Below are 18688 nucleotides of genomic sequence, written 5' to 3' on the forward strand. Positions count from 1 at the left end.
TGAAATTATTCTAACTTTACATTGATTAACCCTTATTACAAGTAAGATTAGACATTTTTTTCACATTTTGATTGCTTGTCTTTTTCTCACTGACATGTAGAAATTCTTTCCTTTCTTTCTTTCCTTCCTTCCTTTCCTTCCTTCCTTTTTCTTTCTTTTCTTTTAACAGGATCTTGCTCTGTTGCCCAGGCTGGAGTACAATAGCATGATCTTGGCTCATTGCAGCCTTAACTTTTCAGCCTCAAGTGATCCTCCCACCTCAGCCTCCTGAGTAGCTGGGACTACAGGCATACACCACTATGCTCGGCTAATTTTATTTTATTTTATTTTTTTGTAGAGACAGCATCTCACCATGTTGCCAAGGCTGGTCTCAAACTCCGGCGCTCAAGTGATCCTCCTGCTTCAGCCTACCCATGTGCTGGCGTGAGCCACCGTAGGCGTGAGCCACCGTGCCTGGCCAAAATTCTTGGTCTATTCTGGATTCTAATTTTTTTTAGTAGGTTTTTTGTGTTGAAAATGTCTTCTAGTTTGTGCCACCTTTCTTTTTAATGTGGTGTCTTCTGACTCACAGAAGCTTTAAATTTTAATATAATCAAGCTTATTACTCTTCTTTTAAACTTTATGCTTTTTATGGCTTGCTTTAAAAGCAAGCCTAACCTAACCCTATACCCTAACCCCAAGTCACAGTTATTTGCCTATTTTTCTTCTATCAATTCTAAAGTATTTTGTCATATTTGAGCCTGCCTTTTGTATATAGTGTGAGCTAGATATCCAAGTTTACTTATACCACATGAATAGCCAGTTGGCTTAGCAACGCTTACTGAGAGGTCTATACATTCCCCCACTGGTTTTAAGTGTCAGTTGAATTGTAAATTGAGTTTTCACATGTATGTGGGTCTATTTCTGGGCTTTTTTTTTTTTTTTTTTTTGAGATGGAGTCTCGCTCTGGAGTGCAATGGCACAATCTCAGCTCACTGCAGCTTCTGCCTCCTGGGTTCAAGCGATTCTCTTGCCACAGCCTTCCGAGTAGCTGTGATAACAGGCATGAGCCACTATGCCTGGTTAATTTTCATATTTTTAGTAGAAATGTGGTTTTGCCATGTTAGTCAGGCTGGACTCAAACTCCTGACTTCAGGTGATCCACCTGCCTCGGCCTCCCAAAGTGCTGGAATTATGGGCATGAGCCACCGTGCCTGGGCCGGGTTCTCTATTCTGTCCCATTGGTGTACTTGCCTCATATGATACCAGAAACACAGCATCTTCATTCTAGCAGCAGGGAAGTCTCAGGGTAATTGGGATGTTTCCTTGATGCCTTCATGGAAAAAAATGAGTATCTGCGAGTCCATGTGTAGGTCTATTTCTGGATTCTCTTACTCCACCGATCTATACGTCTATGTTTACTCCAAAAGTATACTATCTTGATTACTGTGGCCTTATAATAAGCCTTAGATATCCAGTAGCATAAGTTCTCCAACTTTGTTCTTCTTTCTGAATGTTGTTTTGGATATTTTAAGTCCTTTGCATTTCCATACAGCTTTTAAAATCAGCTTATCAATTTCCTGAGATTTTGTTTGGGGTTGCCGTGAAGTTATAGATCCATTTTGGGAAAATTGACATCATAACAATATTGATCCATGAGTGAGATCTGTTTCTCCAGTTTAAAAAGTATTGTTTTGATTTAGCAATATTTTGTCATTTTTTGTTTCTGGCCTGCTTCAGCTTCTTGAGTAGCTGGGACTATAGGAATGTGCCACCATGCTTGGTTAATTTTTTTTTTTAAGTTTTTCGTGCACATGGGGTCTCCCTATGTTGCCTAGGCTGGTCTTGGACTCCTGAGCCAAAGCAATCCTCCCACCTTGGCCTCCCAAAGTGCTGGAATTATAGGCATGAGCCACTGCACTTAGCCTTCCAAAACACATCTTTAAATGATCACAGTCTACTTTCAAATTTTATTATACCAGTTCATTTTTAATGAAAGAATCTTATAAGAGTGTTATTCCATTCCTCTCTCTTGACCTTTGTGCTACTTTTGTAAAACACTTTTCTACTTATCAATTTTGTGTAGAGCAGTCAGCTGTCTTTTTTAGTGATTTTAAAGTGAAAAAAAATGTTTAGTAAGAACTTCTGAGTTTGTGGGGGGGAAAAACAAAATGATAAAAAATAATCTTTTATATATATTTACATGATTACCTTTGTTAAAGTAGATCCAGATTTTCATCTGACATTATTTTTATTCTGCCTGAAGAAGTTCCTTTAATATTTATTTTAGTGCAAGTCTGCTGGCATTGAATTCTCGTGGGTTTTATGTGTCTAAAAAGTCTTTAACTTCCACTTTTGAAAGATATTGTCACAGGATATGGAATGCCAGGGTGACAGTTGTTCCCTCCCTTCCTACCCCCTAGTATTGTTCTCTGGCTTGCCCTATTTCTCCCCTTCCTTCCCTCCTTCCCTCTCTCCTTCCCTTCCCTCCCTCCTTCCCTCCCTCCCTCTCTCCTTCCCTCTCTCCTTCCCTCTCTCCTTCCCTCTCTCCTTCCCTCCTTCCCTTCCTTCCCTCTCTCCTTCCATCCCTTCCCTTCCTTCCCTCTCTCCTTCCCTTCCTTCCCTCCCTCCCTCCCTCTCTCCTTCCCTCCCTCCCTCCCCCCTTCCCTCCCTCTCCCCTTCCCTCCCTCTCCCCTTCCCTTTCCTCCCCTCCCCTTCCCTCCCCTCCATCTGTCCATCCATCCGTCCATCTCATCCTGTCTCCCAGCTTCAGTGCAGTGGCACAATCACGGCTCACTGTAGCCTCAACCTCCCAGGCTCAAGCAATCCTCCTGCCTCAGCCTCCCAAGTAGCTGGGACTACAGATGTGCACCACCACACTCAGCTGATATTTTTAATTTTTTTTATAGAGATAAGGTCTCACTTCATTGCCCAGGCTGTCTCAAACTCCTGGGCTCAAGCACCTTCAGCCTCGGCCTCCCAAAGTGCTGGGATTACAGGCATGAGCCACCGCACCTGGCAGGCTTGAACAATTTCTAATAAGAAATGTGCTGTCATGGCCTGGGCACAGTGGTTCATGTCTGTAATCTTAGCACTTTGGGAGGCCAGGGTGGGCAGATCACTTGAGGTCAGGAGTTTGAGACCAGCCTGGCCAACATGGTGAAACCCCGTCTCTACTAAAAATACAAAAATTACCCGGGTGTGGTGGCATGTGCCTGTATTCCCAGCTACTTGGGAGGGTGAGGCAGGAGAATCACTTGAATCTGGAAGGCAGAGGTTGTAGTGAGCCAAGATGGCACCACTACAATCCAGCCTGAGAAAGAGTGCAAGACTCCTTCTCAAAAAAATAAATAAATAAATAAGAAATGTTTTGCCATTACCTTTGTATCTATGTCTCTCTTCTGTGGCTGCTTTTTAACATCATCTTTTTATCAAGTGTTTTTAGCAATTTGATGGACAAGCCTTGGTGTGGTTTTCATTGTTTATTCTGTTTGAGTTTCCTTGAACTTCTTGGATCTACGACTTTGTAAGTTTCAAATTTTGACATATTCAGCCACTATTTTTTTTCAAATGTTTTTCTGTTTCCCTCTTCTCTTCTCTCCTTCTGGGACTCCAATTACACCTATGTTAGATCGATTTATAGTGTACCACAGTGTACTCATCAGCTGTGCATTTATTTTGTCATGTTCTTTCTACACTTAATTTTCTTTTTTTTTATTTTGAAGACAGAGTCTCAGTCTGTCGTCCAGGCTGGAGTGCAGTGGTATGATCTTGACTCACTGCAACCTCTGCCTCCCAGGCTCAAGTGATTTTCCTGCTTCCGCCTCCCAACTAACTGGGACTACAGGTGCATGCCACCACGCCCAGCCAATTTTTGTATTTTTAGTAGAGATGGGGTTTCACCCTGTTGGCCAGGTTGGTCTTGAACTCCTGACTTCAAGTGATCGGCCCACCTCGGCCTGCCAAAGTGCTGGGATTACAGGTGTGAGCCACTATGCCTGGCCAACATGCTTAATTGTGGATAGTTTCTTTTTCTATGTTTAAGTTCACTGATCTTTTTCTTCTTGGTATCTAGTCTGCTGTTAATCCCATCTGGTGTTTTTAAAAATTTTTCAGATATTTTACATCTCTACGAGTTCCATTTGGGTCTTTTAAAAATCTTTAGTTTCTGTTCTTATCATGTTCATGTTTTCATTCACATTAGTGAGCACATTTGTATTTAATAACCGTTTAAGGTCCTTGTCTGCTGACTCCATCTTTTGTTATTTCTCTTCTGTTTCTTACGTTTGATGCTCTCCCTGGAGTTGTTATGGGTCATACCTTCCAGCTTTTTGGCATGTCTGGTGAGTTTTGATTAGAAGTTAGACATTGTGAGTTTTACATTGTTGGGTCCTGGATTTTGTTGTATTCCTGTACAGTGTGTTAGACTTTGCTCTAGCAAGCAAGCCAATAAGTTATTTGGGATCAGCTTGATGTTTGATTCTGGAGATGCTTAGATTGTGTATTTATTCATTAGGAGATGACTTGTCATTGTTTCTGTTAGGCATCCTGAAGTGCTACTAGCCCAGGGTCATTTCAAGTTATTTTTCTGCTTCACTTTCTATAAATTTGAAGTTTATTTATGTTACCTGCACTCCAGTCTACCAAGATAACATAAATAAACTTCAAATTTGCATAAATACAAGGCTTTGTTTAAAAAAATCTAAGGGCAGACTTTTTCCCCCATCCAGAGCCAAGGCAAAATCAGAAAGTTCTTCTTTTCTCCTTTGCCATTTGGAGAATAAATACTTTATTTGTAGTCTACTTTTTCACAGAGGGTCTAGAATTTAGGGTTTCTTAGCTTTGTGTAAAGGACTCAGTTCTAACTCTCAAATTTAATGCATTCCAGTGCCTTATCTCCTGACCCTCTAGGTCACCCTTGAAACCTGATGTTTTATTTTCCTGATATAGGTAACGGTTGTTGGGGTAAGCATTTCATCAGCACATGATCATCAATGGAATTTTCAGTTCCTTTGTTTTTTTTTTTCTTTTTCTTCTAGGTGTTCCCTTTATCTTATTGTGAGCAGATTCTTAGTCTGCTATATTTTATCTTCTTGCTTTTATTATCAGCAAATTCTAAAACTTTTACCTTGCTGGACTTAACTGTTATCATTCATTTCTTTGAAATTTTTTCCATCAGGTAAATATGAGCCCTTTTATAACATCACAATATCTCATTCACTGTCTGTGCGTGTTCACTTGTGTTTCTCCATCTCCAGTGCACTCCTTAAGGCTTCCTGGAAGAGAAAGCAGAGTTGAAGAACCTCTTGAAAATGACATCTCCCAGTTAGTTGATGAAGTTGTTTGTGCTCTGCAGCCAGTCATCCAGGATAAACCATTTGCATTTTTTGGCCACAGGTATTTGATATCTGTTTTAAAAGACTTCAGGGGAGTTTCTTCTATCTGAAGTTTGAGGTTAATGTTATTCTTTGTGTTTTGTAAGATGCATACCTTTGTATTGGTTAGACAGCATGTTAGGTAATTATGGCCATCACAACTTTTACAATTCACCAGTTTGTATGGTAAGTATACCTATTTTTTTTCCTTTTAGGCAAATAAAGTCAACACTTGTAAAACCAAGACTTTAACAGCAGCTTACATTCTATTTATTTTTGAAATAAGAAATTATGCAAAGAGTATATGTTTCTTAAGCTACGTTGTATAATTCTGAGGTTAAGTCAGAGACCCTGGGGTTCTGGCTATCTCTTATCAGTTGTATGACCTTGGGAAAATTTCTTAGGCTTCTGAGTTAGTTCCTTTTTCTATAAGGGTACAATAACAATAGTTCCCATTTGTGAGGCTTAAATGAATAGTGATCTTAAATAAATTGGTATATAGTAAGGAATCAATAAATTTTGGCTATTATATAAGATTTACAAATATGGTCAAGCAGAAATTGAAAAATAAAAAGTATCCATCATCCTACTACCCAGATAACAATGCTTTAAAATTCTGATGTAGTTCCTTAGTATTTTTACACAATGGGGTCTGGTTTTATATATTTACTTGATCTTTTTCACTTAAAAGCAATGTACACTCACAGGATGTGAAAGATGTTTATTGCTATAATATTTATATTATAGTAATATTAAATTAAATATATTTATATTATTGCCATAAATATCTTTCACATCCTGTAAGTATACATTGCTTCATGATTTGTTTGATTAACCTCCTTTTGTGGATATGAGCTATTTCTATCTTTTTCTGTTATAAACAATAGTCCAGTGAACATTCTTTTTTTTTTTTTTTGAGACAGAGTCTCACTGTGTCACCCACGCTGGAGTGCAGTGGCACGATCTCAGCTCATTGCAACCTACACCTCATGGGTTCAAGCAATCCTCCCACCTTAGCCTCTCAAATAGCTGGAATTACAGGCACACACGACCATACCTGGCTAATTTTTATATTTTTAATGGAGTTGGGGTTTCACCATGTTGGCCAGACTGGTCTCAAACTGCTGACCTCGAGTGATCCACTTGCCTTGGCCTGCTAAAGTGCTGGGATTACAGGTGTGAGCTGTGGCACCCAGCCCAATGAACATTCTTATAGAAAATTTAGTATAAATCTCCTATCAGTTTTTTAGGATAAATTCTCAGAATTTATGTTAAACAATATGCACATTGTTAAAGTTCTTTTCAAGACAGGGTCTTGCTCTGTCACCCAGGCTGCAGGGCAGTGGTGCAATCATGGCTCACTGCAACCTCTGTCTGCCAGGCTCAAGTGATTCTTCCACCTCAGCCTCCCAAGTAGCTGACTACAGGAGCATGCCACCACACCCTGCTAATTTCTTGTCACTGATGTTTTATAGAGATGGAGTTTCGCCATGTTGCCCAGGCTGGTCTCCAACTCCTGGGCCCAAGTGATCCACCCACCTCCGCCTCTCAAAATGTTGGGATCACAGATACGAGGCACTGCATCCAGCCTGTAGAAGTTGTTGCTATATATTTCCAAATTACCTGCACTTTACACTCCATGCGCAATGAACATGGTGCTGAGTTTCCCTTTCTTTCAGAAAATATATACATGTGCAATTTACAAATAAGCAACCTCTGGCAGTTTTGTCAACCAAATGTATTTACATAATATCAACATTTTCAATCCCAGTACCCCTTTATACTTTTAAGATGCATTGAGGAACTCAAAGAGCTTTTGTTTATATGTGATATATCTGGCGATATTTATCATACTGAAAGGAAAAACTAAGAAATTTTAAAGACGTTTATTAACTTACCTAAAAATAACATTAACAAACCTATTATACATTGACATAAACAATATATTTTAATGAAAAAGACTATATTTTCCAAAAAAATGTGAGAAGGTGAGAAGAGTGGCATCATTTGATACTTTTGCAAATCTGCTTAATGTCTGACATAATAGAAGGCAGATGGATTCTCATTTCTGTCTCTGCATTCAAATTGTTGCTGTATCACATGTCATATAGCTTCTGGAAAACTCCACTGTGTATTCATTAGAGTAAAAAAGGCAAATAACATTTTAGTATTTATCCTGAAAATAGCTTTGACCTCATGGACCATCCATTAGGATCTCAGAAATTTCCAGGGGTCCCTAAACCGTATTTTGAGAACTGCGGATATATACTGTTAAAGACACAGTGATACACACCTTTAAGGAAGAAAAGGAAATTTAAATTAATTTGAAGACACTGTGCAAATCAGTACTAAATCTTAGAGTGAATTATCTAGGCTGTCTTTGAAACAGTTTTTATGCTGATTTAAATCACTGAAAAGATAGACTTCTTAATCAACTCACACTTTCCTTTCATCTATTACATGATCATTGTTGTGTTTATGATACTGTTCCTTTTGACTTTCGGTGGATCATCACGAGTTTTGCTTAACAGTTCTTGTCATGTTTTTCTTTGCTGAATTTAGTATGGGATCCTACATTGCTTTTAGGACTGCACTAGGTCTAAAAGAAAACAATCAACCAGAACCATTGCATTTATTTTTGTCAAGTGCAACTCCTGTACATGTAAGTAATTTAGCTTTTTCCTAGGAAGGGCAGTGGAGAGCAGGGAAATGGGGATAAAAATAAGCCATTATTTCTCTATCTGGTGAATTCTGGTCCAGTATGATGATGATGGTGGGGATACTAATAGGTTGGTGCAAAAGCCATTGAGGTTTTTGCCACTACTTTCTTTTTCCGAGATGGAGTCTCATTCTGCTGCCCAGGCTAGAGTGCAGTGGCACGATCTTGTCTCACTGCAACCTCTGCTTACTGGGTTCAAGAGATTCTCCTGTCTCAGCCTCCTGAGTAGCTGGGACTACAGGCGAGCACCACCACAGCCAGCTAATTTTGTATTTTTAGTAGAGATGGGGTTTCACCATGTTGGCCAGGCTGGTCTTGAACTCCTGACCTCAGGTGATCCACCCACCTCAGCCTCCCAAAGTGCTGGGATTACAGGTGTGAGCCAGCACACCCAGCCTGCCATTACTTGCAACGGCAAAAACCACAATTGATTTTGCACCAACCTAATACTTGCTGTTGAAAAGTCCCTTAAATCTCTTTCAATATCATTCTCTGTTTCCCTGAAATGCACTTCAGCTGTTTCCTACTGGTACTATTCCTGGCGTCTCTGAGCTAATGCTGACCATAGTGCTTTTTCCTTCATTGTGGGTCAGCTGGGAACTTAACCAACTTTGAGCAAAGTAACTGGATCAGAACCAGGAAAGACTCCTTGAAATGTTAAAAGGGGACAGTGATGTCAAGTTCTTAGGACTACCATGGCTTTTTAAACCTGGTGCTGTTGCTCCTGCTGCTCTTCCTCCTACCTCTTTGGTCTTTCCCACTTCATCTGGAGAAAGATCCTGCCTGTCCCAGGATTCTAAATCTACAAAGCCATTTTGGTGGCATTATGATGCTGTAGTTATTACTGATGAGCCTTCTTCTCCCTACTTTCAAAACGACATAGTTCTTTCCTGAAGCCTATAGATAAAGCAGTCTACTTCCCAGCCTTGGTTTAATGACTTTTCCCTTAGATCAACAGTTTTCAGTTTATGAGCCAAGTGTGTTATATGAAATATCAGGCCTGTGTTGTTGTTCATGTTTCAAGTCAAAGGCCTGGCATCGCATTCCCAAAGATGATGAATTGTCAGAAGAACAAATAAGTCATTACCTTATGGAATTTGGAGGCACCCCCAAGCATTTTGCTGAAGCCAAGGAATTTGTGAAACAATGTAGTCCCATCATAAGGGCAGATCTGAACATTGTTAGAAGTTGCACGTAAGTAACAGAAACAAGGTTTTTTCTTTTTTTGGTACAATTATTTGTAGAAAAACATAGATTGGCAGTGCTCTGAGGTTGCTTATGTGGGAAGACAAAATTCTAAGAGTTTGGTTTCATTTCCTTTGGGGCCACCTATGGTATGTATACTGGTTTAGAATGGAGCCTAGGCACAGAAATTGTATCTGTAAAAGATGTCTAGCATGGCCAGGCACAGTGACTCATGCCTATAATTCCAGCACTTTGGGAGACCAAGGCCAGTGGATCATTTAAGGCCAGGAGTTCAAGACAAGGCTGGCCAACATGGCAAAACCCCATCTCTACCAAAAATACAAAAATAAGCCAGATGTGATGGTGCACACCTGTAATCCCAGCTACTTGGGAGGCTGAGGCAGGAGAATCACTTGAAGTCAGGAGGCGGAGGTTGCAGTGAGCTAACATCATACCACTGCCCTCCAGCCTGGCCAACAGAGTGAGACTCCATCTCAAAAAAAAAAAAAAAAAGTCTAGCATGTATTTTTCTTTAAAAAATATATGATTAGACATGTATATTTTATCTCATAATAACATAGTAAATATCTGTTGAATAAATTAATGCCAAAGCATTTTCATCTTCTTAGAAGGGTCAGCAGAAATAGATTGTTACTTATTGTAAGTGTGGAGGCAAACCAGTGTGGAGAAATTTGCTAGGTTTGCTTTTTTGTACATTTTGTTCCAGAACTCATTAAGTTCTATGAATATCTCTCCATTCCCTTGTCTCATGGGATGTCTGTATAGACACTTGATTCTTCTGATAGAACTGAAGTCCTGATACTCTGTAAATCCTTCCCCAATAATCTTTCCTATTTTTATTTTATTTATTTATTTATTTATTTATTTATTTATTTATTTATTTATTTATTTTTGAGATGGAGTCTCACTTTGTCGCCCAGGCTGGAGTGCAGTGGTGTGATCTTGGCTCACTGCAACCTCCGTCTTCCAGGTTCAAGCGATTCTCCTGCCTCAGCCTCCCGAGTAGCTGGGATTACAGGCACCCGCCACCACACCCAGCTACTTTTGCATTTTTAGTAGAGACGGGTTTTCACCTTGTTGGCCAGGCTGGTCTCAAACTCCTGACCTGAGGTGATCCACCCACCTCAGCCTCCCAAAGTATTGGGATTATAGGCGTGAGCCACTGTGCTCAGCAAGGACTAAGTTTTTGAGATCTACTGCACAGCACTGTGACTACACATGTGTATTTCAAAATTGCTAAGAAAGTAGATTTTACCTGTGCACATCATTTTAAAAAGTTAAGTATATGAGGTGATGGATATGTTAATTCGCTTGACTTAATCTTTCCATAATGTATACTTATATCAAAATATCACAGTGTACCTCACCAATTTATACAATTGTTATTTGCGAATTTAAAACAAAATTGAAAAAACTGAGAAGTAATCCAAATCACCATGGACATTCAATGCAATCATGGATGCAAAAGCTGGCTTTTAATAATTAAGCCTTGCACAATGGTGAAACATGCCATCTTTAGAGTCCGCTTAGCAGACTGAAACCCTGTGTCTTACTCACTGCGAGATTCTGAGCAAGTTTCTTTAACGGTCTGTGTCTCATCTCATCAAAGAAGGGATAAGAATAGCACCTTTCAAGGTGTTGTGTGAGAATTAACTGCTTGGTAGAGGGGAGCGTCTGGCACACAACAAACCATGAGCTATTTTTAAAAAACAAAACACAACCAAAAAACTCACAACCAATGAGTTTTTTCACTCCAAAGAAACCTCCAAAACACCAGAAGTAACACATTAACATAAATCATTCATGGGGATATTCTACTCACAGAATGTAGAAAATGTTGACATTCTCACCCTTTCTCCAGTGAGCCAAATTGCAGTAGTTACTCACAAATTTTAACGTCCTCTCTCCAAATTTCAAAAACTCTTCCAAATCCTGCCCTCCTGCACCTTCTCCTTTTCAATCTGATCTCTCCCACGTCCTCGTTATCTCCCTGCTTTTTCCAATACAAATGAAATCAGGCCTACAGAGTTTTTTCCAGTTCTCTTTCCCCATCACTACCACTAAAGCTCAGAGCTACTGGCCAAAATGGAAATTGTCAGCCGAGAAGTGCCAGAAGCTGTGACTACTTCAGCTCATATAATCTGTCCTCCTCTCTTGCTTCGGACTATTGTTACTGTTCCTCCTCTGGGATCCTGATGCCACATACACTAGGGTGTTTCATAATTGATATCATCCCAAATCTCTTGCAAGTTCTGTTTTGTTTCTTTTTTTAAAGTTTCCTTTGTGTTTCAGTGTGAATAATTTCCTCTGACTGTCTTCAAGGCCGCTGACTTTCTTCAGCTGTATCAAGTCTACTGATGAGCCTGTCAAAGAACTTCTTCATTTCTGTTATTTCTAGAAATCCCATTTGACTCTCTTCTGGTTTTTACCTTTCTAATGAAATTCCCCATGTGTTCATGAATGTTAGCCACCTTTTCCACTAAATCTGTTGATAAATTAATCCTATGTATTTTAAAGTCCCTGTTTGAGAGTTCCAACATCTGGGTCTTATCTGTGTCTGATTCTTTTGACTGCTTTGCCTCTTAACAATGGGTTATTTCTTGCTTTCTTGTGTGTCTGATAATCATTATTACTATTATTATTTGAGATGGAGCTTTGCTCTTATTGCCCAGGCTCGAGTGCAATGGCGCGATCTCAGCTCACTGCAACCTCCGTCTCCTGGGTTCAAGCAATTCTCCTGCCTCAGCCTCCCGAGTAGCTGGGATTACAGACACGTGCCCCCACACCCAGCTAATTTTTTTGTATTTTTAGTAGAGACGGGGTTTCATCATGTTGGCCAGCCTGGTCTCGAACTCCTGACCTCAGGTGATCCACCCCACCTCGGCCTCCCAAAGTGCTGGCATTACAGGCATGAGCCACCGTGCCCAGTGATAATTTTATAAAATCAAAAGCCAGTTATCATGCATAAAAACAGTAGAGACTGAAGGTAATGTTTTACACCTGAATTTGAACACGTCTCTGCTTTTTGACAGGCCGTTAGTGTGGGGAATTGAGTTAGTCTAGACTGGGCTTGAGCTGGGTAGGGTTTTGTTGTTGCTGTGATGACCTTGAGTGCACCACCAGCTCTCAAATCCTCTGGTATATAATCCTCTGCTATGTGTCTGGTGTGGGATGCAGTTGTTCCAGACCTTTTCTCAGCAGTCCTGCCCTACCCTTGGCGTTCAATGTTCCCTGTGACTCATAGAACAGCCTCTCTTCCTCCTGTTGCCCTCCCCAATGTAGACAGCTGTTGCTTGTTACTCAATGTATGTTAGCCTGTGGGTAACACAGGGAGTTCCTGGACATCTAGATAGTCTGAAGCATGAATTCTAGGTAGCGTCCCCGTGCCTGGGTTCTGTGAGTGGGGCTTTCTCAGCATGCCTGCTCCTTCTCTCTTGCAAACACATTTTTGCCTTCTATCTGTGGTTGCCTTGGTGGAAGATTCCTGCCCCTTCCTGCAAGCAGCAGAACTCTGCTTGGTTTTGGTGTAGAATTGTTTCTCATCCCTTCCTCAGGGGTAGAGGGCTTATGCTTTTATCCTCCCTGCAGCAGCCACAGGGCTTCACCTGCACCCTGGTGGCGAGAGGGTTTCATGCCCCTCTTCCAGCAGCTTAAGGCTTCTGCTTACAATGAGAGCAGACCTGGTCAGGTGGCAGTCTAGTGCCAGTCCAATTGCCACAGCTAACTAACTGCCCTGTGGAGGTGTCTCTCTAGCCTCTCGCCTCACTCCTAATTGTTCTCGTCAACCCCTAGTGGAGGCCCATGGAAAAGAGGCTGCATGGCTGGGCACGGTGGCTCATGCCTGGAATCCCAGCACCTTCAGAGGCCAAGGCGGGCGGATCACTTGAGGTCAGGAGTTCGAGACCAGCCTGGCCAACATGGCGAAACCCCATCTCTACTAAAAATACAAAAATAGCTGGATGTGGTGGCAGACACCTGTAATCCTAGCTACTCGACAGGCTGAGGCAGGAGAATCACTTGAACCCAGGAGACAGAGGTTGCAATGAGCTGAAATCACGCCATTGCACTCAAGCCCGGGCAATAGAGCGAGACTCCATCTAAAAAAACAAAAAAAGACAAAAGAGGCTGTGAGTCAGTGGGAACTCCATCTAACACACCGTTCTCACTGTGTCTCCAACACTTTAAAATTTCGGCTGATTTGAGTCTTATCGCATGTACAGCAGATACCTCTTCCGCCTGGACATTGTGCCATCTGACCCTGTCTACTGGCCCCATCTCTCTGTAGTGGGAGTCTGTCTTCCTTGGAATTTGATTTCTAACTTGCCTTGCAAACACAGCTCTCTGTTGAGTTCACGACAAGTCATGATGCTGCAGTTTCTCTGTTTTTTTTTTTTTTCCTCTCATTGTTAGGATGGAGTGTGGGGTGCTGCTGCTTTTTTACATTCCAGGCAGGAGCAAATCCTTGCTGGGATTACTGCAAGTCCCACTCACTTGGGCCTATCACATACACTTGGTCCCCCTCCGATCCGTTATCCACACTCTATCCAGAGGATAGAAGTCCAGTTTGATCATGGTGTACCTTGTTTGATCTTTTTGGTGACTTCCTTTCACTCTTAGGACAACCAACTAGACTTATACCTGCATACCTCTTATACCTTAATTTGTCCCAATACTCCACTTTGTTCTCTGAACAATAGCCTTTTTTGTTGTTGTTGTTTTGTTTTGCTTTGTTCTTTGAGATGGAGTTTCGCTCTTGTTGACCAGGCTGGAGTGCAGTGGTGTGATCTTGGCTCACCGCAACCTCTGCCTTCCAGGTTCAAGGGATTCTCCTGCCTCTGCCTCCCAAGTAGCTCATTACGGGCATGCACCACCATGTCCTGCTAGTTTTGTATTTTTAGTAGAGACGGGGTTTCCCGTGTTGGTCAGGCTGGTCTTGAACTCCCAACCTCAGGTGATCCACCCACCTCGGCCCCCCAAAGTGCTGGGATTACAGGCGTAAGCCACCACGCCTGAACTTTTTTTTTTTTTTTTTTTTTTTGAGACAGGATCTTACTCTGTTGCTCAGGCTGGAGTGCAATGGTGCAATCACAGCTCACTGCAGCCTTGACCTCCTGGGCTCAAGTGATCCTCCCACCTCAGCCTCCCGAGTAGCTGGAACTACAAGTACATGACACCACACCTGGCTAATTTTTTTATGTAGTAGAAATGGGGTCTTGCTATGTTGCCCAGGCTGGTCTCAAACTCCTGGCCTTAAGTGATCCTCCTGCCTTGGCCTCCCAAAGTGCTGGTATTATGGTGTGAACCATCACACCTGACCTAGCCATTAATTTGTTGTCTTTCTCTTCCCTCTCTCCCTGCTGGCTCTATGCCCTTTGACTGGTTCTTCTCTATTCATTCAGGCTTCAGATCCTCTCCCCTTTCCCAGGAGACTTGCCTTGACCCTGTCCCCACCTCCTCCCTCCTGCCAACAGTTCTCCATCCCCCTGGACTTGATAGCACCTTCCATCTCTCTCTAGTTGAATGATTGTTTCTGTAATGTCTCTCTCCCAGCCAGTCTCTCAGCTGCAAGAGGGCAGGGACTGTGTTTGTTTCTCCACGTGCCCCTAGTGTCTAGTGCAGCACTGAGCCTCTGACTCAATAAACACGTTTGCTGCTGTTGTGAGGTTCTGTGCAGAGCAACCCTCTGCTGGGCCAAGGAGAGCTAAGAGTTACTAAAGAGGTCTTCGTTTCTGATGACAGTTTAAAGGACTGGTTCCACCAGCCTTACCTTGAGTTGAACTGTGTGCCCCAGTGCCATCCTGCTGCCACGTGTCACATCCTAGAAGTTAGATATTGGAAATTAGTCTCCACACTGAGTCTCAGGCAGGCTTTGACAGGTAGAAGTGCCATTGGTGAAAAATGTTTTACACTGCTAGAGTAGCCAAAGAAAAGAAGTGAACCCACCCCAAGTTTCATTGACATTAGGAACAGGAAAAGATTCTGGGATGTTGATTTCAAACAATTACTAACCAGCTCTTTTATGTTTATAGCTCTAACGTACCATCTAAGGCTGTTCTTTCCTGTGACTTGACATGTTTTGTTGGATCTGAAGACATAGCAAAGGACATGGAAGGTGAAATTATTTTTAGTCTCGAGTATTGTATTGAAATATATGTTTGATGGCTTTAAAATTTTTTTTTTTCTTTTGAGACAGAGTCTCGCCCTGTCACCCAGGCTGGAGTGCAATGGCGCAATCTCAGCTCATTGCAACCTCCGCCTCCCAGGTTCAAACGATTCTCCTGCCTCAGCCTCCTGAGTAGCTGGGATTACAGGTGCCGGCCACCATACCCGGCTATTTTTTGTATTTTTAGTAGAGATGGGGTTTCACCATGTTGGCCAGGCTGGCCTCGAACTCCTGACCTCATGATCTGCCTGCCTCGGCCTCCCAAAGTGCTGGGATTATAGGCATGAGCCACCATGCCTGGCCAGCTTTTAAAATTTTTTTTTTTAATTTTTATGGGTACATAGTAGGTGTATATATTTACGTTCGATGATTTTTGACCAATGTCAACTAGTAGTTACTGCAATGAGTAAAAAATTAGTTGAAGTTGTATTTAGTGTAAAAGGAGAGATGTTGGTCTTGTGTAAAATGAGAGAACTGCTGTATACTGATAGGTCTCAAAGAAATAAAAAATGCAGGACACCTAGTGTAAGAGTTAAAGAAAGAGGAAAGACAAACAAAATGCAGCTTAACAGTCAAAGACAGGTTTTCTTTAGATAAAACCTGAGAGGGGCTCCTGGCAGACTTCCATCAGGAGCACTTTCTCTTACAGATGAAGAGTATATATTGGTTTTAGGGTGAGGGGCTTATTACAAGCTTGGAATGTTTCTGTGTGAGCGAGAAGTTTTATGGTAGGGTTGGAATGTCTCTGGGAGGAGGGGAGGCTTTCTTGGGGCAGACATCTTTCTGGCGGCCGGAAGCAAGGTTATCTCGAGGCCGTCATCTTCCTGGCCAGAGGGGGGTTATCTTGGGGCTAACATGTCTCTGGTCAGGGAGGAGTTTGGAACGTTTCTGGTTGGAGATGTTATCTATGGTTTATGGTTATGGTGACCTTAGCCATTAGGCTGATGATGCCTTTTGGATTTAGGTGGTTTTTGATTAAGGTAAACTTTAGAATGAGGGGCTTGTCCAAGATGGCAATGCTCCTGCTTCATCACCTAGAACATAAGGCCTTGAAAGTAACCGTACTTCAGGGTGTCAGCTCTTAAAGAAATGATGTCTTGATGTGAATCTTTAGTTGCTGTTGGTGTTGTTATTGAATACAATCTTGTTTATTTTCAGCCTGGAAAGATGTAACCAGTGGAAATGCTAAAATTTACCAGCTTCCAGGGGGTCACTTTTATCTTCTGGATCCTGCGAACGAGAAATTAATCAAGAACTACATAATCAAGTGTCTAGAAGTATCATCGATATCCAATTTTTAGATATTTTCCCTTTCACTTTTAAAATAATCAAAGTAATATCATACTCTTCTCAGTTATTCAGATATAGCTCAGTTTTATTCAGATTGGAAATTACACATTTTCTACTGTCAGGGAGATTCGTTACATAAATATATTTACGTATCTGGGGACAAAGGTCAAGCCAGTAAAGAATACTTCTGGCAGCACTTTGGGAGGCCAAGGCGGGCGGATCACGAGGTCAGGAGATCGAGACCGTCCTGGCTAACACCGTGAAACCCCATCTCTACTAAAAATACACAAAATTAGCCGGGCGTGGTGGTGGGCACCTGTAGTCCCAGCTACTCGGGAGGCTGAGGCAGGAGAATGGTGTGAACCTGGGAGGTGGAGCTTGCAGTGAACCGAGATCGCTCCACTGCACTCCAGCCTGGGTGACAGATCCAGACTCTGTCTCAAAAAAAAAAAAAAAAAAAATACTTCTGGCAGAGTCTTTTATCTTCCTATTAAAATCTCACTTGATTCTCCTTTATGGGAAGTTTGTCGACAAAATTCATGATTAGTAAATTATCCATTTTTTCCTTCAGTTAGTTTAATGGTGAAGATGATTAACAGGGGAAATGCTTGAAGTAAATGATTGTTTCAATGGCATACCGTGTCTCAAAGCTTGATCTCATTTTTTCAAATGTAGAATAGCCCCACATAGTAAGAAAATGTAACCTACTGCTTTGTTAAAAGAGATCCCAAAATAATTATTGTCACCTGTGCAGGCAAGTCGTCAGAATGCCTATACCCCACCCCTCTAAGGAGTTTATTCTACACCACTTACTGGGGGGCTCTGCCACCCTGGCATGTCTGGCTGGGACCTGGATCGTCCCCCCAGTGGACAACCAATCTAGAGTGTTGCCTGTGACAAAGGGAGTGGCCAAGCACAAATCTCACACCTAAGAGGCTGCCTCAGCCTCACTCAGCAATAACTTGAACTTGACTTAGGGAGAAAGCACAACAGCTGGAAGTAAACAGGAACCAAGAGAAAAAGAAAAGCAGAAATAGGAGCCAGGCTCAGTGGCTCAACACCAGTAATTCCAGCACTTTGGGAGGCTGAGTAGCAGGATCATTTCAGGTCAGGAGTTTGGGAGACCCCTGTCTCTACAAAAGATTTTAAAAATCAACCAGGCATGGTGGCGTGCACCTGTAGTCCCAGCTACTTGGAAGGCTGAGGCTGAAAGATCGCTTGAGCCCAGGAGGTCAAGGTTGCAGTGAGCTAGGATCATGTCATTGCATTCCAGCCTGAGTGACAGAGTGAGACCCTATCTCAAAAATAAAAAGTACATAAGGTCTTAGTAAATAAGATTAAGGAAAATGCATACAGGTGGTATTTTCCTAAATTTATCACTCTTTTTAAACAAAGTACAAAAAATATAAAATTAACTATTTGGGGGAGGCACTTTGAGTTTAGGCTACAAATAGTCTTAAGCAAATTATGTTGTAGTATGTGTTGTACTTTATCCTTTAATTTGATACTATTTCCAGGGTTCCCTTACTGAAAGATTGGTATAAAAGTAATTGGGAGGCCGGGCATGGTGGCTCACGCCTGTAATCCCAGCATTTTGGGAGGTTGAGACGGGCGGATCAGCTGAGGTCAGGAGTTCAAGACCAGCCTGGCCAACATGGCGAAACCCCACCTCTACTAAAAATACAAAAAAATTAGCCAGGCGTGGTGGCGGACGCCTGTAATCCCAGCTACTAGGGAAGCTGAGGCAAGAGAATCACTTGAACCCGGGAGGTGGAGGTTGCAGTGAGCCAAGACCATGCCACTGCACTCCAGTCTTGGCGACAGAATGAGACTCTGTCTCAAAAATAATAATAATAATTAGGATTCGTGATTATTAATTTGAAAAATGTTTAGTCAGTATAGTCTGCAAACTGAAGTTTCATGATGGAACAAATGCCAGGCTTTGGGGGTAAGCTT

The 18688-nt window shown here is 41.9% G+C and overlaps 1 protein-coding gene and 1 long non-coding RNA gene across 6 annotated transcripts in view, besides 1 other annotated feature; one reads left to right on the top strand and one right to left on the bottom strand.

The window, feature by feature from the left end:
• OLAH (oleoyl-ACP hydrolase) overlaps positions 1 to 17367 on the top strand; it is a 41659-nt gene extending 24292 nt beyond the window's left edge. For 3 of the 5 annotated variants that reach the window (XM_047425423.1, NM_018324.3, XM_017016376.3), the window contains exons 4-9: positions 338 to 496; positions 5238 to 5376; positions 7917 to 8016; positions 9098 to 9267; positions 15309 to 15391; positions 16601 to 17367. In XM_047425423.1, coding sequence (XP_047281379.1) covers positions 338 to 496; positions 5238 to 5376; positions 7917 to 8016; positions 9098 to 9267; positions 15309 to 15391; positions 16601 to 16743 — 794 coding nt within the window. In that variant the 3' untranslated portion in view covers positions 16744 to 17367. The remainder of the gene's footprint in view (positions 1 to 337; positions 497 to 5237; positions 5377 to 7916; positions 8017 to 9097; positions 9268 to 15308; positions 15392 to 16600) is intronic. The other 2 variants (XM_024448060.2, NM_001039702.3) reach the window with 1 other exon arrangement.
• ACBD7-DCLRE1CP1 (ACBD7-DCLRE1CP1 readthrough) overlaps positions 1 to 18688 on the bottom strand; it is a 73705-nt gene that overhangs the window by 41415 nt on the left and 13602 nt on the right. Inside the window, exon 3 of the long non-coding RNA NR_144471.1 lies at positions 15047 to 15097. This is a non-coding gene — a long non-coding RNA (ACBD7-DCLRE1CP1 readthrough). The remainder of the gene's footprint in view (positions 1 to 15046; positions 15098 to 18688) is intronic.
• Positions 15891 to 16091: a silencer, noted in NCBI's record as "peak869 fragment used in MPRA reporter construct". NCBI's record gives its function as "represses an SCP1 promoter by STARR-seq MPRAs in K562 erythroleukemia cells {active_cell/tissue: K562}" and the evidence as "EXISTENCE:reporter gene assay evidence [ECO:0000049][PMID:32103011]".

This window comes from Homo sapiens, chromosome 10 (genome assembly GCF_000001405.40).
Source record: "Homo sapiens chromosome 10, GRCh38.p14 Primary Assembly".
NCBI classification, from domain to species: Eukaryota; Metazoa; Chordata; class Mammalia; order Primates; family Hominidae; genus Homo; species Homo sapiens.